This window comes from Homo sapiens, chromosome 3 (assembly GCF_000001405.40).
Source record: "Homo sapiens chromosome 3, GRCh38.p14 Primary Assembly".
Classification (NCBI taxonomy): domain Eukaryota; kingdom Metazoa; phylum Chordata; class Mammalia; order Primates; family Hominidae; genus Homo; species Homo sapiens.
This window is the reverse complement of record NC_000003.12, coordinates 43,530,541-43,552,284: the sequence shown is the minus strand read 5'-3', so window position 1 is coordinate 43,552,284 and position 21,744 is coordinate 43,530,541. Positions and strand designations below refer to the sequence as shown.

Below are 21,744 nucleotides of genomic sequence, written 5' to 3'. Positions count from 1 at the left end.
CTATACCCAACCTATGTAGACAAGATACACTGTCTGATTCTTTTCCCTATATCAAGACAAGTATATTATAAATAACAGATGGTAGAGGGAGGTAAGGTTTCTGTGCTTCACTCAAACTGATAAAAGATGACACAAGTAGAATGTGATAAGTTACGGATATATAATACCTAGAGCAACCACTAAAAACATTACACAAAAGATATACTCAGGAACATTATAGATAAACCAAAATGGAATTCTGAAAAATGTTCAAGTAAACCACAGTAAGACAGGAAAAAGAAAGCAGAGAAATGAAAAACAGGGAACAAACAGAAAACAAGGAAATGACCAGCCGTACATCCTAACATATCAATAACTACATTACCTGTAAATGGTCAAACAACAATTAAAGACAGAGATTGGGAGAGTGGATTAAAACACATGACTGAAGTATATGCTGTCTCTAAGAATCTCAAGTCAAATATGATTTAGGTAGGTTTAAAGTAAAAGAATAGAAAAAGATATATATGGAAATATTAATCAAAAGAAAGAAGGAATGACTATATTAGTATCAGATAAAATAGACATCTGTGCAAAAATTGCCAGAGAGGACCATTCTATGATGATAAAAGTGTCAAATTACCAGGAAGACATAGCAATCTTAAATGTATATGTGATTTTGGAATATGCAAACAAATCTATATTGACAAAAAGCAGATCATATTTTGTTTGGACACAGGTGTAAAGAGAGGGCTGAATTGCAAGGTCATGAGGAATCTTTTGGGGGAAATGGAAATGTCCTGTGTCTTGTTTGTGGTGGTGGTGGTTTCACAGGTAAATACACCTATCAAAAGGTAATGAAGTATATACCTTAAATGCATGCAGTTTATTATATGTAAATTATAACTCAATATAGGTGATTTTAAAAAAAACCTGAAAGTTTAGTTACAAACATATTGCAAGTTCAGGAAGCCAGGCACTGTCATATGCTGCTGGTGGAAGCATGAGCTGGTCAACCCATGGAGTGCAGCTTCGTATTTATCTATCAAAATTACAAATGCATGTCCCCTTTGACTCAGCCATTTCACTTTCCAGAATTTAGCCTAATTCCACATTTGTTAAATGATGTACTTATAAGATCACCAATTGTAGCACTGTTTGTAATAGCAACTAAATGCCCACCAATAAGAAAATGGTTACATAAATTCTGATACGTCCATGTAATAAAATGCAGAAGCAGTGTGGCAAAGAATGAGGGAGCTCTTTTAGTATTGACACAGAAAGTCCCTCAAGACACTTTAAATGACTAAAGCAAGGGGCCTGACAGTATGTAGTATGCTGAAAAGGGAGTAGGAAAGAGTGTATATATTCAATATGCTTATTTTGCATACAAACTGTCTGGAAGAATACATAAGAAATTGCAAATAGTGGTTGTCTTCTAGGGAGAATGGGAGCTGCGAAGTGGAAGAAAAGGGGACAAGGGAAAAAGACACTCTTCACTATGTACTTAGAATTTTTTATTTTTAAGCCATGAGAATATAATCAAAAGTAAATAAATAGAAATTTTAAACTAAAGTAAAGACAGTCTTAGATTTCTTATGAAGAAAACTGTGGAAAAATAATCAGACTACACAAAGATTTCTAAATTGTAAGATGGCAGAAGTTCTCCATGGGACAAAATGTATTCATATTAAGTTTGGATTCAGTCATCTTTTGTTTTGCTTCTTTTAAAATTAATGTTTCTAATAGTACTTGTGTTTCTTGGAATTAATGGGTAAATTATTAAGTGGTGATCACCATATACTTTGTATTAAAGAAAAAAAGAGCAATGGTCACAACATTTCTCCATCCATCCTTGGCAGTATGCACCAAAGTCTCCTTCAGGGAATGCTGGACCAGTTTGTCTAGTAGGTCTCAGTGGGGCCTAGCATCTATATTTTTCTAAAGTTCTACATTTGATTTGCTAAATGATGCTAGAAAAGGATCACCATTTATCACTGGTGCCTTGATTATAAAGCTGGTTATAGCTGAGTCAGATGTGGTGTGTGATGTCAAAGTAGAAGGATGGTTTCACAACATAAGTTCTGTTTGAAATCTTACCTGTTTTTTAATGTGAAACATTTTTCCCTGGCAGCCCTACTTTAGATTCCCCTTAGATGTGAGTAGAGTAACTTTAACAGTATTCCCAATTCAGGTCCAGGGCTGCCTCCAATTAGGAAGATAGAACATACTGCTTTGGGATATTCATGCCAAAAGTATCTAAAATACTGCCTAACAGTATGGCTTTTTTTTCAGCTAAAAAAATCATACCATGACAGAGAAAAAAATTTAAAATGTACTTGGAATGTTTAGAACTAGGGTAAGACATTTTCCTTGATTTTTAGATAACATGAAAAAGGATGAGGAAATATGGAAGCAGTCATTGCAATTTTTAATTTCCATTCTTTTTTCTTTTAGTTGGCTTTTGAAACGATGAGTGTTATATCTGTGGTCACTAACTGTGCGCTGATTGGAATGTCACCACAAGTGAATGCAGTCTTTCCAGAATCAAAAGCAGACCTCATTTTGATTGTAGTAGCAGTGGAGGTAAGTAAAGATTTAAACTTATTTTAAGCAGTATCCATATTACGTTTCTCTATTCCAAAGCAGTGCTGTCTCGGGCTGTCCATGACTGACAATTGAGCAATATGGATTTACTGGTAAGAAAGCAAAAACAGTTCAAGTAATAGAAAACATGAGGATTCAGGCTGTGTATTCATGGTTATTGCCCAAGTATGAAAAACTGTCACCACAATGCAAACAGGAAGTGACTTTTCCACTATTATGCTGGCCTGCCCAGTGCTAAGTAGGTAAATCCTATTTGAGGATCAGGTGCCATGGCTCACGTCTGTAATCCCAGCACCCAAGCCAAGGCAGAAGGATGACATAAGGCCAGGAGTTCAAGACCTGGGTAACATAAGACCCTGTCTCCACAAAAAATTTAAAAATTACCTGATGTAATTTGGTACCTGATGGTAATTTGGTACCTGATGTAATTTGGTACTGTAATTTGGTTCATTCTTGTAGTCCTAGCTATTTGGGAGGCTGAGGCAGGAGGATTGACTGAGCCCTAGAGTTCAAGGTTACAGTGAGCTATGATGGCACCATTGCACTCCAGCCTGGGCAACAGAGCGAGACACTGTCCCTTAAAAAAAAAATCCTATTCAAAATCAAATTCCATACATTTAATATGTATTTTTAGTCTATTTTAGAGAAAAGACAGTTCTACTTTCTTAAGCAAATCCTAAAAACACTTTTTGATAATGACTTAAGTCTCATTTGCTACAGGTGTGAAATTCATTGTGAAACACTCTCAAACTTCAAAATGTAATTTGTAGGACGATAGATAATTTCACATGCAAAGCCCAAGCAGGCTGTCTGTGCTCTTTTTACGTTTTTCTTTTATCATGTTTCAGAATATGGATCCCTGTAACATCTTGGAAATTAAGCACTAACCAAATGTAAATGGAATAATTTGTAGGAATTTTTTTTGTTGCTTGTAATTATAGTTGTCAAGAATATTGTAACCACCTTTCATTTTTAGATATTTTAAAAACAAAACAGTTATGGAACTCTATAAAAGCAGAACTTAGGAGGATCCTGAATGGTGTTTCATATACTTAAGGCCTTAGGACTCAGGGCTGACCAGAGGAAAGGAAATCATGAACTTGCACATTTCCAGTGTTGGCTAAAGAAATATATTCTGCTTTGCTCTTTTTGGCTCTTATTGTATTTGGTAGGAATCTGTGTTCATGATAGATGCTATATGTGGAATATGCATTTTGGAGAATGATTTTAGACAGCAGTGAGTGGGAGGGAAAAGAAAATGGCCCTGACAGATACAAGTAGTCTATTTTGAATTTTGTAAGTTGAATAGAATTTTGGAGAGCTATTTGCAAGGCTGATTTATGACCTGTGGAAGTGAGAAAACAAGACAGAGTTACCTTTGACAGGGAGAGACCAGCTGGCTAGGCTTGTAGTGTGCTTTCTTGATTTAGAATATGGCACTTCACTTCACAGATCTAAAAATTTGTCTTTGCCAGTATACTCAGAGTTAATTAAAGGCTTTTGGGACTGACTGAAACTTAAAACTCATGAAACTTACAAGGGATTGACCAGAAAGCCAGGTGGTTAATTTACAATAAAAAGATACTTTACCAATACCGTAACAGTGGATGTTAAAGTGAAGGTGGATTGGTTATTAGAAGATTTCTTGGTAAATTTAGAACAAGAGCAGGAGTGGTGTAATATCCTGAAATACGCAGAAAACCTGAAAACCATCCCTACCTCCACACAGAGCAGAGCTCTCTCATGAGCCAGCTCTTGGTGTCCATCGCTAGCTTCTGAGCAATGCTGGATGAGCTCATTACAGTCTACATCTTGATTTTTGCCCTCACTTTCTCTAGATTCCTGGCTGGCTCAATATATTACCATTGATTAGCCTACTGCTTTCTTTTGTATTTAGTGATACCTTAATCACATATTGAGGGCCTGGTTCTTCTTACTTAATTCGGGAGACTTACTGGCCTATAAATACTGTTCTGCAGGTGGCTAGTCTCGTGTTAAACAGGATGGTTTTGCTAGTCTAATCCTCACTCGATTCACTTAATCTGCACATTCTAGGGATACTTGGCTGTTACCCTCTAGGTTCTAACCATTATGCCTCCTCTTATTTATTTATTTATTGTCTCTTCACATTGTATAAAAACAGCTGTTTTAATTGTCATTGTCTAAACTGGCAAAGTAAGAAGCATCAAGGAAGGCTAGGAAGAAGCCAGGAAGCATCAAAGAAGGCTCCCTGCAGGTTTCAGGGGGATCATAGCCCTGCCAACATCTTGATTTTGGACTTCTAGCCTCCAGACTATGAGAAAATACAGTCCTGCTGTTTTAAGCCATCTATAATAGTTTGTGATAACTTTGTTCTGGCAACCCTGAGAAACAAATGCATTTTCCTTTCTGTTGTAATAACTTTTGTTAGCCAATTTTTAAAGGGTCAGTCTGCTAGCAACAAATTCTCTTAATTTTTTCTTCATCTGAAAACTTTTTTTCTCTTTCATTCTTAAGTATAGTTTTGCTGGACATAGAATTCATGGATGATAGTCTTTTTCTTTCAGCATATGAAAAACATTTTGGTATTTCCTTCTAGTCTCAATGGTCTCAGAAGAGAAATATATCATTCCAATTGGTGTTCGCCTGTAGTTAATGGATCCTTTTTTCTCTGGCTGCTTTTAAGATTTTTTTCCCTGTATCTTTAATTTTTGAAAGTTTAATCATAATGGGCCTTAGTGTAGCTTTTTGGGAGTTTATTCCATTTGGGGCATGCTCAGCTTCTTAGATCTGTGGGTTTGTGTCTTTAACCAAATTAAGGAACTTTATAGCCGTTATTTCTTCAAGTACTCTTTCAGCCCCACTCTCTCTCTTCTCCTGGGATTTTCATATGAATCTTGGGTCTTTTGTATTTTCCCACAGGTCCCTAAGGCCCTGTTCAATTTTTGTCAGCCTGTTTTCTGTTATTCACATTAGGTGAATTCTGTTGATGTATTTTCAAGTTCACTGTTTCAACATCTTCTATATGTCCACACTACTATTGAGCCCATATACTGAGGTGTGTTTTTTTTTTTAATTTCTATTACTGCATTTTTCAGTTCTATAATTTTCATTTGGTTGTTTTTATAACTTGTATTTCTTTTGCATGTGGATGTCCAGTTTTCCCAGCACCATTTGTTGAAAAGATTGTCTTTTCTCTAATGCGTGGTCTTGGCACCCTTGTTGAAAATCATTTGACTGTATATGCAAAGTTTGCAAAATCATTTGACTGTGTATACAGTTTATTTCTGGGCTCTTTATTCCATTGGTCAGTGTTTCTGTTTTTATGCCAGTACCATACTCTTGATTTCCATAGCTTTGTAGTATGTTTTGAAATCAGGAGGTGTGAGACTACTAACTTTGTTCTTCTTTCTCAAGATTGTTTTGGCTGTTTCAGTGTGTATTTATGTCAATGTGCTTGCAGTAAGCTATGGCTATTTATTTTATGATATTTTAAAATGTTAACTATCGATCAGAAGTTGGATTATATTGGCACAGATGGGTCCTCTCTTTCTGTCACAGTGTGTATTTGAATATTTGTTTTGTTTATACCTTATTGACTTTCATACATTTGAGAGGGCCCTAGCTTTGGTTTCTCAATAGAAAATTTTGTGTGTCAGGACAAAACCAAGCTCAAGCTGTTTAAAATAGCCAAAAAATTAGAAATTTACCAATGCTATTCTAGTGTTGCTGAGACCTCAGCTGAATGCCATCTGGTCTTGTAATGAATCCAAAAAGTGTAACATTTACAAATAGAATAGAAAATACAAATTTTTGGTTTGCTACCATTCAGTTTGTAAAATCATGTTAAAATTCTAATTCTGAATTTTACAAGGTAACTATGTGAGGTGATAGATATGATAATTAGATTAATTTTGCTAATCATTTCATAGGATATACATATTTCAAAATATGTTGTATAACTTAAATATATTTCAATTTTTATTTGTCAGTTATACCTCTATAAAGCTGGAAAAAAAGAATGTTACAGAATGTTCATCAAAACTATCAGTGGGGTCGGGCACGGTGGCTCATGCCTGTAATCTCAGCACTTTAGGAGGCCGAGGTGGGCAGATCACCTGAGGTCAGGAGTTCGAGACCAGCCTGGTCAACATGATGAAACCCCGTCTGTACTAAAAATACAAAAATTAGCCGGGCATGGTGGTGCGTGCCTGTAATCCCAGCTACTCGGGAGACTGAGGCAGGGGAATCGCTTGAGGCAGAGGTTATGGTAAGCCGAGATTGCGCCACTGCGCTCCAGCCTGGGCGACAGAGAGAGACTCTGTCTAAAAAAAAAACAAACAAACAAACAAAAAAAAACCATCATTGGGTCAATTAACATGTTTCTGTTTATAAGATTTTTCTCTTTTATCTGAAAATCTTTTCAAATAAGGAAATTAAATCTTAAAATTAACGTTAAAATAGAATTTTTTACTGGAGTCTACATAATGTTCTTATTGATTTAAAAAAGTTTTGCTAGTAGCATATTAAATTAACAGCATGCTATACTTTCATATGTTTATTCATGGCCCCTATAAGAGCAGAAATTTTACTAACTCAAAAAATGCCATAGTCTATAAATATATAAAAATTCTCATAAATTTTTAACGTCTTGATGGAAAAAGCAATTTAAGATGCTTTTTTTCCAAATTAATTAACCAAATAAATATCTAGATACATTTACATGATTAGAATTTGTTAACAGAACAAACACGACTTAGAAAATGTAACAATTTTATAAAGTTGATGTTGAGTGTTAATGTTCTCAAAATTTAAAATTGGATGAATTGATAGTTTCTATTGCTTTTCTGGATCACATTTCCAAAGCCAGGTCACTTTATTTTTTACGCAGGTTTCTGATTCTTTTTTTTTTTTTTTTTTTTTATTTCAGACAGAGTCTTGCTCTGTCACCCAGGCTGGAGTGCAGTGGCACAATCTTGGCTCACTGCATCCTCTGCCTCCTGGGTTCAAGCAATTCTCATGGCTCAGCCTCCTGAGTAGCTGGGATTACAGGTGCACACCACCACGCTTGGCTAATATTTGTATTTTTAGTAGAGACGGGGTTTCACCATTTTGGCCAGGCTGATCTCGAACTCCTGACCTCAAGTGATCTGCCTGCCTCAGCCTCCCAAAGTGCTGGGATTACAGGTGTGAACCACCATACCCAGCCCTGATTCTTCATTTTTTTTTAAAGCTTGATTTAGTACAGATGAAACTGAGTAAAGGCAAAAATGATCACTGCTGTATTATGAGAACTGTGTCATTTGTCACAACTTTTGTGTATTTACTGCCATCTAGTGTTGCCTTTAAAAATTGATGACACTTGAACACTACTTTCATTTGCAAAATAAAGAAATTTTTGTAGACTGAACCAGAGAATAGCCTACCAATGTAATAGATGAAAACATGTGAAAATGCCATTTTTTGTGGGTTAAAAATAAATACTGGCGGTGTCATAAAGTTCAGCTCTCAAGATTAAATCAATATTCAAATAATTTCCCTTAAGTAATTATCATCCTTCTTTTTGAGGCAAACTTAGTTTGCTTTTTTGATGTAATTTTTAGCAAAAGATTACTACTTTACCTGCAGAATTATGTATGTCTCCAATTTCTAAAAAATAGAAATGGCCTGATATCTTCCAAATATTAAATCTTAGATAATACTTCATTTTAGTAATGACAGTTTTAATTCTAAATTAATTGACAGTTTTAATTCTAAACTTGGCAAGATGTACCTATCAGACATGTTGAATTACTGACAATTTACCTACTAAATTTGGTTCTTTTTCTAAGGTGAAGACGAGTTAACTACTCATCCCAGAAATTACACTGCATTTCTAATGTTTAGGGCCTGGTGACCACCAAGCCTGCCTGTACCATGCATGTTTAATTCGTGGTTTAAAAAATATCATTTAATTACAGTTTCTTTTAAAAAATAAGTTTTCATGTGGCACCCCCTCTCCATCTGCCAGCAGCTGCTTAGAAGCAGAATTGAGGCCGGGCGCAGTAGCTCACGCCTGTAATCCTAGCACTTTGGGAGGCCGAAGCGGGCAGATCACAGGTCAGGAGATCAAGACCATCCTGGCTAACACGGTGAAACCCCGTCTCTACTAAAAATACAAAAAAATTAGCGGGCGCTGTGGCGGGCGCCTGTAGTCCCAGCTACTGGGAGGCTGAAGCAGGAGAATGTCGTGAATTCGGGAGGCAGAGCTTGCAGTGAGCTGAGATCCGGCCACTGCACTCCAGCCTGGGTGACAGAGCGAGACTCCGTCTCAAAAAAATAAAAAAGAAAAGAAAAGAAGCAGAATTGAGTCTTATCTGTAATACCAGAAGTATCCTCTGAGAATGAACTGAGCCTTTCCAGGTTCTTTTGTGCCCTGACTCACAGGCTTTATTTTCCTAGTTTCAGATTTGAAAGTTGCAAGCATTATACAGATAATTCCTATATATTCTTTATCAGGATTCACTGATTTTGAACATTTTGTCACACATGTGTTCTTCCTCTCTCTCAACTAAGAGAGAGGGAGGGAAGGAGAGAGAGAAACAGAGGGAGAGAAGAGAGAGAGATTTATAGATATTTGAAACTATACAAATGTGGATTCTATCCCTATACTGCCTCTTAGGGTATCACCTTGTCTTGTGAGCCCATTCCCTTGACTTCAGAGTGAGGCCAGTGCAGCCTCCCTTGCATGAGTGTTCTAAAGAGTAGAAATAACACATGTATAACTCTGATTATGTGTCTGGTATTGAGCAGGTGCTTACTAATTTGCAGGTCTTGTTACCACTCTCACAAGGCGAGGCATAGATGAGGTTGTATATGTGAAATGCCAAACACAGGGCTGAGTACTTGGTCAAGGCACAGGGGATGTGAGCTGCAGTTCTAACCAGCTTAGTATCAGAATGAAACTTTCGTTATCTTTATTATCATTTTCATGATTATTTGGTTAAGCAGGTAGTGTCACAGCATAGAGGTAGCTTGGGGTGTCAAAGTCTGGTGGTAACTGAATTAGAATCCCAGCATTTCCTTTTAATCTTTGAGTCTCAGTTTCCTTGGATATAAAATGGAGACATTGGTAGTGTACACAAGAAGTGTCAGGCACCATGTTTGATGCAGAGGAGGAAGTGGAAAATTGATAACAGTTTATAGCACCACTGTTGTTAATGAGTTCCTCTTTCAGCAATTAGTTCATATGACTCTGTCAGCTCTAGATTTGTTGTCATGGGCCAGGCTCTCCATCATAGCATTGCATTGGTTCCGTCTGTGTTACAGTTTGCTGCTTACATGTTTATCTCCCTCTCTTACGTACCTTCTATCTGTGGCATGGCTGTTTTCTTCTCTCTGCTGATCTTACTTCCACGCCTCAGCCTAGCCCTCCCTCCCTCTCATTCATCCCTCATCAAGACTTGCTGATTCTGACTTCTGAATATTTGTTTCGGCTCTCTCCCTTGTCACTGAGTTCATGTTCTTACCATTTCTCATCTAGACATACTTTTTAAAACAGCTGTGGTGAGCATAACTCACACACCATACAATTCCCTTATTTAAAGCATACAGTTCAGGAGCTCTCACCTAAACTTTTACAGCAGATCTTTTTTACAGAAGGAAAGCCTTCTGGCTTTCCTGCTTTTCCTCCTTTGGCCCATGCTCTCTACTGCTGGAGTGGTTATTCCTAAATGAAACTCTGATCATATTTCTCTTCCGCTGTGGCCCTCACATGGGTGTCCATGGCTTACAGAAGAAATGCGTTAGTCGAATGCCAGATGTTTGTTAGTCTCCTTCCCCTTCACTTCCCCTGGCTTCCATTCCATCCTTGGATAACCTAGGACCCTTTGTGAAAGTCACTGTTATCATTTACTAAAACTGTATGACAATCACGTGGCTCCATTACCAGATCGAGCTTCCTGAGAGCATGAGCAAGGACAGCATATGATGAAGCCTCAGTAACTGAGAAGCTTCATAAAGTAACTCAGTAGAGTTACTTTAACTCTTTGTTTTCAAGTGATTAAGTAACTGCTTGTTAAACGTTTATTAATTAATGAATGAGTCATATATAGTTTTTTTATTCAGTGTACATATAGTTAGTGCCAATTACTTAAGAATTAATTTATAATTATAAGGACTTTGATAATGTACCTTTGAGAAGTATACTAAGAAAACCCTTAAGTAAAATATTAAAATTATATCATTTATAAGAAAAGGCAAACTATATTGGGCAGTATGGTATAGTGGTTGAGAACATAGGTTCTGGGTTCAAATCCTGGCTACACCACTGACTAGCTCTGTGTCTTCAAATGAGTACCTACTTCTACAAACTTAGGAGGATTAAATGAATAAATGCATGCAGTATGTTTAGTACAGTGCCTGGCAAGATTAAGTGTTTAGTTTTGTTAGCTATTATTGTCATTGTTTCTGAAAAACAATCTGTTGTCATAGAAGTCTCTTCACCTAATTGAAAGGTTTGATTAAGTTCTGAGAATTCAGTTTAAAACTTAGCCTACAAAGGAGCCCACAACAAACTAAGTTACTAATCTGGTCACCATTTCCCATTGTTGAGCATGAGTTGGGTTGGTTTTTTATTTTTGGATTAGGGTGCTTTTGAATAGAATTATGGAACTGGGTTTTTTTTCTTCCTCCTCTTGTTTCCTTTATTCCTGTGATAATCTTGGAATTTACTAGTCTTTCCATGGGCTCTTTAGCTGTTATCTGGATAAAACATTGCTCTGTGTTCTCCTAATGTTGTGGGAATAATTAGTCAAATCAAATGCTTACATTGAATACATATTTATTATGTGCTAAAATATGCTAGGCATTACTATGATACATCCCTGGCTTCAGGAATGCTCACAGACAGAATTATGCAAGAGATACATTTCAGTGCAATAGGAGGCCTCTTTCTTCACCTCCTTCCCCTGTTAACCCAGCTCTCTCCATTCCCTCCTAACAGTGCCCTGACTAGTGCAGGCTCTGTTGGCCTGCTGAGTGGGCATTGGTGTGAGGATGATGGGGAAGATGTCCACTCACTGAGTTTATGGCTCACCAAGAGGCATTTTGTTCCCAAATCTGTTTATGTGTGGTATTCTTGTTACTGTAATTGGCATAATTTAATGAAATGGAATGGAGAATGATGAAAAGTGTGTGCTAAAATAGAGCCATCATTTCTATGAAAACCTTTGGAAAGACTTCATAAAGACAAATTGCTGTCAGATTGAATAAAGATGAGACAATTATAAAAGATTAGGGAAAAATCATCAGAATATGGACAGCCAGATTCTGTTTTTACATTGCTTCACAAGTGTCTTTAAGTTTTCACTCTCCTTTAAAGAAAACAAACCTGGGCATCTTAGACATTGTCTTATAGGTGTTATTTAGGCGCAGCAGAGAGTGAGACAGTCCATCACTGGATCCTACTCAGAGGAAGGGCCCTAGCTCTACAGCAAAAGATTTGCAAATTAGTGTACATTTAAATGTTTGCTAAAACAAAATGAATATATGCATTTTGTATGATTCTGCATTTTAGCTGTTTTGATTAACGAAGGAATTATTGGCCCCAATTGTGTCATCTAAATGGGCTTCTGTTCCTTGGGAGTGCTAAATTAGGATTTTAAGTTTGTCAAGTAATGGGAAATACTTGTTTTGTTGAAAAACCCAATGCCCTTGGAATTGATGGTTAATGTATAATCTGTTTAAATATGACTTAGTTAACATCCAGTTTTTGCAGATTACATTGCAATTTTTTAAGGTCTTACAGTGGGTAACCTAACCTGTTTCTTGCCTAAGAAAGTTTAGGAGAAGGCAAGTCTCACCCCTCTGCAAGAGATCGTTTTACACTCAGAATAGAGTTGTTTTCAGAAAACAATTGTCTGAAAGGAGGTAAGCATTAGAAAATTCAACAGCTTCTCTGTACTCTTAAGCCATAATTTCAAAGTCTGGCATCATTATTTTGTTTAAAGTGAAATCACAGAACATCATATGTATCCATATTCAAATGTAAATACTTCAGATATCCACAAACAAAAAACTGATTTGGGTTATTCATCTTTGAGGACTGTTGCTCTTGTCTCTTCTCATTTCATGCTTTCAAGACCTTCTGTCAATTACCTGCTCCCTCTGCTGTCTCCTACTGCACCCCAGCCTGTGCTTCCCGCTCTCAACAACAGACCTGCTAGGTGCGTCACCCTCCTCTGGGACCTGCTTGCTAACCTCATTCTTGCATGACAGTTAACTTTCCTTTCAGATGCCTGAACTGATCCAGAGTCAAACTGACCCTCTTTCTCTGACTTCCTATCTATTTTAATGGGGAGATAAAAAAGCACGTTTGGTTTTATTTTTTTTTTCTAGGTTGGAAAGCAAGTGTTGCTTTAGAAAGTTGAAAATAGACTTGCAACACATAAGAAACCCCTGTTCTTTGCAATATTGAGTTGTGTGTTGAGCAGTCTCAAATCTAATGGGAATACATTTGAGGTGGCTCTGTGTGGCAGGGGACCCGTTGAAAAAGTGGAATGTGGGGGCAGCTCCAGTACCAGGAGGGAGCAGGAGGGGTGAAATAAGAGACTGTAGGTTTTCTTAGGGAGAGTGGAGAGTATGAATTGGGGGATAAGAGGTAATGGATGGGGAAACTGATGGAGGGCTCTAAGGTCATGATGAAAACTTTATAGCCCATTTACATTTTATTCCAAAATGGTATTTTAAAAAACACTTTCAAAGTCATGACTGCAGTATTCATTTTCATTCACTAACATAAATTCTACTTGGCCATTCCAGTGATCTCTAAAAATGAATAGATTGTGGATTGAATTTACTGTATCTTCTTATTGTGAGATTGAACTTCCAATCCTCTCCTTACCAGGAGCAGCCTCTTCGTTGGGTTGAGGAAGCTGAAACAGTTCTTGTCTATGAAGCACCTGCCCCTGTGTGTGTAGACAGCAGGCCGTTCTCCATCCTGCATCCCCCTCTGCATCTAGCCTCTCCTGTCTCTGGTCCAACCACCCTCAAGTCCAAAAGACCAGCTGGAGTCTGCCTCAGCTTCTCCTCTTGATTGTTCTCAAATCCACCTCATTTTTTCCGTTTCTTCAGTCCTGTGGGTTAGATCCCAGTTCTTTATGCCTGCCATCGTTACAGTTTTTTTCTTCTGCCAGAATTACAAAGCTGCCATAGTAATTGTTGTTAAAAAAACCTGTTCTTTAAGGTATCCTTCTGTATTTTCACATAACTTGTTTTATTTCCGTTTTAAAAATTTTTTCTGAATTTCTAGTCAGTGCTGGAGATACAAAGAAAATAAATTCACCCTTCTTTTGGAAGAGCTGGACTCACAAGCAAGATCATTTCAGTACAGTTTTTGATACCTCTTTTCTTATTTTTTTTCCTCAGTTAAAATGCTGTTCTTAAATTCATATTTGTCAATGTGTAGACCCTGTTCAATAACCCATTTCTTTAGGAATGGTTTCCCACATTAACAATACCCCAAACTCAAAATGCTGTGTTAGTATGCTACGTCAAATTTCACTTTTAGAAACACTTAGCTGTTTTTTTTATACTGAAATTTTATATCAAAAATAGGGCCAGGTCTAACTATCATTTTTTAGTATCATAGACATTTATGTATTTTGGGTTTGGTGAAATGGTATAAATTTGACCAGATCTTAATGTTTCTAGTTATTTTGATATGTTGTATTTGTTCTTATGTCTTGTTACTTCTGTCCCCCCACCCTTTTTAGTCTGTAGCTTAAAAGCTTCAGAGGGTCTTTAGTTTCTTTTGTAGTCCTCCAGGGTGCCATGTGGCTAAGACTGGATTAAATTAGAAACTATGTGACGGTGGTTTGTGGACTCCAGGGTGCTTACAGATGTAAGATGTTAATACTACTACTATAATTTCCTCCTAACTAATAAAATGTGTTCCCAGTCCCATTATGTTATGTTACTGAAATCGACTATTTCTAAGGATATTAAGAACAATGAACAGAAAAGAAAGGTTTTTGAATATTGGTTACTTTCTAAGAAAATTTCTTCCTATCTGACGTATATTAGTTACGTGTGTGTGTGTGTGTGTGTGTGTGTGTGTGTGTGTGTGTGGTTTATAAAGTATGCCTGCTCTGAGCCTGAGATCATGGTTCTGCTCTGGTGGATGGAGCAGGAGGTGGAAGGTGAGCTGCAGAATGTAAAGATATGGTTGCCCCCAAGCTGTCATCATTGGGCCCCAGCTGTGACCATTTTTAGGAAGCTTGTAATGCTTCTATTATCCTTTCCATTTCAGCACTTCACACAGAACTAATTGGCACCATCTGTGCTAATAATTAAGCCTGTGATGTGGTCACTGGTGCACAAGGAACTCAGGTTGAGGGAATATTTCACAGCAAAAAGGAGGTGGGATATGAGTAGAAAGAATACAGTTTGTTGATATTCTTTTATGCTGGAAAAGGAAACCCAAGGAAAGAGGAGCTCTCTGATAGACCAATGATATTCTTCCACAGCCTATAAGCCTCTTACCCACTGAGTGTGTAGGAAGGACATATGAGCAAGATGACAGGTAGAGCTCTTGGCATTGTCTTCTCTTTGCTATTAAATTTGTCCCGGAGATTGCTGTAATATACATCTAGTCTACGTTTGGACATTAAAACTTAACCGAGGATGGTTGCCAAGGACTCAGAGTAAGGTGAAAGGTGAGGGCTTTTTTTTTTTTTTTTTTTTTGAGTGATGAAATTGTTCTGTATCTTGATTATGGTGATGGTTTCACAGCTGGGTGCATTTATTAAAACTGAAAGTGCTATACACCAAGATGAGTGATTTTCTATTTAAGTTAAAAGGTAAATTTTAAAATGTATAAAAACTTGTTGAAAAAATGCTTTAGAAAATCTTTTGTGGCTTAGGACATGTTTACAAGATGAAAAAAGTAGATTTTTTTTCTTTTTCAAAATTAAGAACAAGGCAACCGAAAACCAGTTAATCTAAAATTTGATTTTATATAGTAAATGGCTCCTTTCAAACACCAAATAAGATTTTATAATTGAATTTTTAGGCATATTGCTGAAAGGAACAAAAGAAGAGGGCTTTTAAGCTTTTCTTTCTTTGAGCCCCAGAACTCCATTTTACCATTAAAGGAGCTGCTCATCTTGAGTATTGTTTTGCTGATGAGAGGAAATTAATGAGGTGAGGCATCATTCTCATACATTTGAGAATTCACTGATCAAACTTAAGAACAAAAATGATCTATTGTTTTATGTTTTAACACTCTTTCAAAATGTAGGTCATGTCCATAAATGCAAATGACTATGTAGAAAGTAATATGCTACTGCTGCTAACCGTTTTGAGGGCACAGGGTATTCATGTGCTTCTAGAATCATCAGGATTTGCAGAAGGGCAATAGGAAGTGGCACACTGGGAGTGATTGAGAATTCTAGTGCTCTAATGAGTGAGGGATCACAGTTGATATCAGTGGAATCATTAATAAATATAAAGTTTGTATTTGGTACTTTTTAAAGAAATAATTTCAAATTGAAAGAAGCATTTTAAACAACTTGGAATGTTACATTTACTTTTGTGTTTTACTTTTATCAGGAATGTTTAAATAATCTACAAAGTATCCTAAGCCAAGAAACTTTTTAAGAGTTTAAGCTGAAGAAGCGTTTTTAAAATACAAAAGACTAATAAGTATGTGATTATGGTCCAAGTGAAAGTTAATTTGTCAATTGGATAACAAACATTTGTCAGTACTTATCTTATAGTTTTTATGCTTTAAAATGAGGGACAACAGACTTTCAAAACTAGGGTGCCAAGTCCTGCTTATTCATTCCTCTTCAGGAGAGTTTTATAATCTTTAAAGTCTTTGGGAAGACTTAAAGAGACTTAATCTTTAAAGCCTTTATCAACTGATATCATAGTTACTAGTTTACACAGTAGCTGAGATTAATGGAATTTGGATTTTCAGGATTTTTCTCCTGGTTGTCTTTGTCACTGTGTTACTAAAATTTACTGTCATTTATACTCACAGTGCTACTCTAACTGTGGCCCACACTGTGCTGGTCTGAGAACTGTTAGTAGTTCACAGTAAAATAAGGAGCTCATACTAAAATATAAATCAACATCCTGCTTCCTTCCTTAAGAATGTCTAGGAGGCCAGGCGCTGTGGCTCATGTCTGTAATCCCAGCACTTTGGGAGGCCAAAGCAGGTGGATCACGAGGTCAAGAGATCGAGACCATTCTGGCCAACATGTTGAAATCCCGTCTCTACTAAAAATACAAAAATTAGCTGGATATGGTGGCACGTGCCTGTAGTCCCAGCTACTCAGGAGGGTGAGGCAGGAGAATCGCTTGAACCCTGGAGGCAGAGGTTTCAGTGAGCCAAGATGGCACCATTGTACTCCAGCCTGGTGACAGAGCGAGACCTCTTCCCCCCTTCAAAAAAAAAAAAAAAAAAAAAGAATGTCTAGGTATGGTGGTTTACTTCTGTAATCCCAGAGCTTTGGGAGGCCAAGGCAGGCAGATTACTTGTTTGAGACCAGCCTGGCCAACATGGCAAAAACCTATCTCTACTAAAAATACAAAAATTAGCCGGGTGTGGTGGTGCACTCCTGTAATGCCAGCTACTCTAGAGGCTGAGGCACAAGAATCGCTTGAACCTGGGAGGCGAAGGTTACAGTGAGCTGAGATTGTGCCACTGCACTCCAGCCTGGGTGACAGAATAAGACTCTGTCTCAAAAAAAAAAAAAGAAAAAAATCTACATATAGGAAAAAAAAGTTAGCAGAGCTCTGAGTGTGCTTAGTGACACAGTTGATTTACATTCTGGTACAAGTCATCTCTTGTTCATGGGCTGCTAACAAGTAGTGCTTTGACCTGTACTGGTTTGCAGCACTGTAATTACATATATGGTTCTCTCCTCCTTAAGACAGTTGTTGGGTTTGGATAACATTCAAGCTACTGAGCAGGAGCAGTGCCTGCTGTGTTGCTCCCATCCTGACTCTCAAGCTGTCATGCTCCACTGCCTTACTGTCTGTTTCCAGGTGGACATTGGGACAGTGGGTCGGGGTGCAGGACTTTTCTGCAGAGAGGTGGCTTTCACCCTTTGGCTCTGTGTATTGGTGTTGTCAGGAGTGTTGTCTGAGTCAGGGAATTATGTTCTACAGAGACATGGCTGCTCCTCCCTCCCTCCCCCCAACCCCCTTCTCTCTCTCTTTCTCTCTGTCTCCCGTTCTCTCTTGCGCGCTCTCTCTCATGCGCGCACGTTCACATGCACACACACATGCTCACATACACGTGAACAGAGTTCTGAAAACAGAAGGCATTCAGATGGCCATTTCAATCATTGGGAGAAAGAACCATTCTCAAGCATTTCTACTCAGCTCTTTGTCTTCTAAAATGTAACATTTAATCAAATTTTTAGAGAAATAATTATTTCCCATATATACCTCCCATGTGGACAGTGGTGGCCTGCCTCATGTCTTTTGATAGTTTCATTTTTGTTATTAGCTGACAGCATGTGCAAACTAGAAAGGTATTCTCTTACATAAATAATTATCTTCTTTATTTAAATTTTATGTACTTATTCTCTGGGTAATAATGCATTTACATGATTCAAAACTCAAAAGGCTCAAAAACACAGTGATAAGAACCCTCTCCTGTCTCCCAGTCAACAAATTCCCTTCTGTGGAGGCAGCCAGTGTGATTGGTTTCTTATGTTTGCTTCCAGGCATATTTAATGTGCAGATAAACAAGTATACAAGTGTATGTAAATAAGCATTAATTCATAAGCAGAATTTAGTTAATTTGTTTTACACTTAGTTGTTTAGTACAAATAAGAATGCTATTGGCAATTAACAAAATTTTCAATGTAAAGGAATCCATGTGTAAGATGACCTCTGATGCTATTGAACTTTGGAATTTATGACTTGAATGGTATTTTACAAAGCAGTTTGACCTTTTCAGAATAAGAGAAATTCTTCCATCATGAATAAATGACAGGTTGAAGTACAATGATTGGTGTGCTTATTATTTCAGATTTGGATCAGTTTCACCATCATTTAGCAAAAGCAAGAACTGCTTATGAATAACAAATATTTTTGTCCTGCTTTTTGCCAAGGATAGTACTGGTACTGGACTGGGGTCAAAGCTAAGGAGCTGTCTATTTGTGCATTTATTAAAGTTTTTAAAATAAGAATGAATTTCTTTACTGTTACTAAGGCCAAAGCTTGTTTAAATAGATAATTGTGGAACTATGGAATAAGAATCTGTTAGTAGAATAACTCAACAAAAATGCATTGGATTAGGGAGCTTTCGAGTGTTTTTTTAATAAGCTGCATAAAACTTACATGTGATATAAGTATACTTTTTGGCCTACAAATTCTACTTCAAATAATTTATTTCGAGGAGAGATACTTGGAGGCAGGGGCATGGCTTAGCCTCAGTGATATGGTTCTTTGAATGAAATTGCCTTAACCTTCCTGTTTTTGGCTCCTTTCTCATTCCTGCTTTTGCTAAATCAGCTTTTCTCTCCAACCCTTACATATCCGTCAGCTTTCTTGGTTTCACTTGACAACATGCTTCTCACTTCCATCATCTGAAATGTGCTACCATTTTTTTTCTGCTAACAGCTCATTTCTTGTTTGAGTCTTTACCGACTATTTTGATGAAGTCTTGGGCTCTATCATGCCTGGAAGCAAGGGGAGGTATTATTGAGCTTCTCCTGGATTTAGGTCCTGGCTTTGCCATAGAGGACACAAAGACAGAGAGTATAGAGAACGTTTGTGCCATGCAGAACAGGGATGACCAAGTAAAGAATCTTGCCTTTAGAACAGGGCATGTGCTTTACATGAATTCCCCTCCTCACTTAGACTGAAACCTTACCATATCACTTTGTATTTGAATCTCTGGGTTGGAGATTCCTAGATGTTTTGGGGAGATTGCTGTTGTTGTTTTGCATTACTCTTTTATGGGAAAAAGCATTAAAATAATATGAATTAAAATTAATTTTGCTTCATCTAACTATAAAGATATAGCTTGAGAGATTTTTGGTGGGTGATGAAACTGTTCTGTACCTGATTGTGGTGGTGGTTATATGAAACTATACGTGCATTAAAATTCATAAAACAATACACCAGTCAATTTTATTATATGATATAAAAAACAATTTAATTTTGTTTTGAGAATTTTATGTATCTCTGCAAATAAAGATACATCTGTGGAAGTCATTAAGGAATCAGTATTATACTGGATGAACAGTTGTATAGCCTCCTTTATGAAAATTGGGATTTCCAATGACCTAGTCAGATTATTTCTTTCTATCTACTCCTCCCTGCATGTATACACCTACCTGTGTTTTCATATTTAGTATAAAATTAGTTCTAAACTGAGCAAGGATGGCAAGGCAGCGATGATGGCTTTTTCTCCCCTAATCTTTGGAAAGAATTTTAAGCCATTAAACGTGAGAAGTTTAAGCGAAGGCATAGCATTTGCAATTATCAGAGCATCAGTGACTATTGCCTCTTTATTTAGACAGTCTGAGTCCTCTGTCCTTTTGACTATGGGACCTTTATCCTTTTGCATTACTAAGAGCTTTAGGGGAATATTTGAGACTTTCATCCTAGCTGCTTGTGATTCAGCTCTTCTCCTTGTTGGCAAGGTACAGTTGATGTCATACATAGGGCTGGCAGATGAATCAGCAGGATGCTGCTTGGCAATGTGGACGGGGTGACTGAGTGAAGAGGGTTTAAGTTTGTTGGGTGAAGCATCACTGAGCTTGTGACAATGCTCTTGGCTCTTTCATGACTATGGGTTTTGTTTTTTTTTTTTTGAGACAGGGTCTTGTTCTGTCACCAGGTTGGAGTGCAGTGGCCGATGGCCCAATCTCGGCTCACTGCAACCTCCGCCTCCTGGGCTCAGGTGATCCTCCTGCCTCAGCCTCCTGAGTAGCTGGGACTACAGGTGCTCACTACCACGCCTGGCTAATTTTTGTATATTTTAGTAGAGATGGGGTTTCACCATGTTAGCTAGGCTGGTCTCGAACTCCTGACCTGAAGTGATCTGCCCACCTCAGCCTCCCAAAGTGCTGAGATTACAGGTGTGAGCCACTGCGCCCGGCCTCATGATTATGCTTTAATTACCATGTAAATGACAAATCGTCAGATCACACATTTTTATTTTAGAGACCTATATATTTATTTTTTATACCAATAAGAAACCTAAAATGCAGCATAGTAGCTTTTCATTTCATATTTTAAAATGTTGATGCAAGAAAAGACTCTTCCATAGACATTAGAAGATAGAGAACTTTATCTGAGTCATGAGAATCCCTTATTTTACCTTTATTCTCACAAAATAATTTGAAAAAGCTGGAATAATTTATAAGCCACTATTAAGATGACATAGATCTTGGTGAATTCTTTAGATAAAGATTAAGCCAGAACGTGTAATTTAAAGATTGTTAAAAACATTTCTCCAAAGTAAAATAATTTGCTTAAAAATGTAGGTTGGTTCTTGAAGATCTGTCATTTTGTTTTGTCTTCAAAATAGTTGAAATATTAGCTCTACAGCATGTAGACATACTTGAAAGTTAGAATACTTCTGCTAGTGACCACAGACTTATTTTTTGTCTTTTTGCCTAGAGTTTATTAGTCATATTACACAGGTTTTAGTTAAAAGAATACCCAAGTTTGGCCTTTTACATACATAACATGCCTTTTGATATCAACACTTTTTCTATGACCTAACATAGGATTAGGTTTTTGAATATTCTGTGTGTGCCCAAGGAGAAGGTATATCCTCTCTTATCAGTGTAATGTTTTATTTGTACACACACACATACACACACACACACACATTAGTCCCAGCTTATCTGCAAAGGATGGTTCCAAGACTCCCAGTGGATGCCTGAAGCAATAGATAGTATTGAACCCTGTATACACTGTTTTTTCTTATATATACATACCTATGATAAAGTTTAATTGATAAATTAGAGACAGTAAGATATTAACAACAATAGTAGAACAATCATTATAATATACTTTAATAAAAGTTATGTGAACATGGGGTCTCTCTCTCAAAATACTGCTTTAATAAAAGTTATGTGAATGTGGGGTCTCTTTCTTTCTCTGTCTCTCAAAATACTATGATATTTTTGGACTGCAGTTGACCACGGGTATCTGAAACTGTGG

The 21,744-nt window shown here is 37.2% G+C and overlaps 1 protein-coding gene across 25 annotated transcripts in view, besides 1 other annotated feature; it reads left to right on the top strand.

Annotated features, from left to right (window-relative positions):
- The window catches only part of ANO10 (anoctamin 10), a 325,747-nt gene that overhangs the window by 139,310 nt on the left and 164,693 nt on the right, over positions 1-21,744 (top strand). For 14 of the 25 annotated variants that reach the window (NM_001346469.2, NM_001346468.2, NM_001204833.3 and 11 more), the window contains one exon: positions 2,437-2,565. In NM_001346469.2, coding sequence (NP_001333398.1) covers positions 2,437-2,565 — 129 coding nt within the window. Of the gene's footprint in view, positions 1-696; positions 814-2,436; positions 2,566-15,616; positions 21,730-21,744 lie in introns of those variants that run through there. The other 11 variants (NM_001346463.2, NM_001346464.2, NM_001346467.2 and 8 more) reach the window with 5 other exon arrangements.
- Positions 15,205-16,139: an enhancer, noted in NCBI's record as "OCT4-NANOG hESC enhancer chr3:43577638-43578572 (GRCh37/hg19 assembly coordinates)". NCBI's record gives its function as "activates a minimal SCP1, AML or CMV promoter by ChIP-STARR-seq in primed H9 embryonic stem cells {active_cell/tissue: H9 hESC(primed)}" and the evidence as "EXISTENCE:reporter gene assay evidence [ECO:0000049][PMID:30033119]".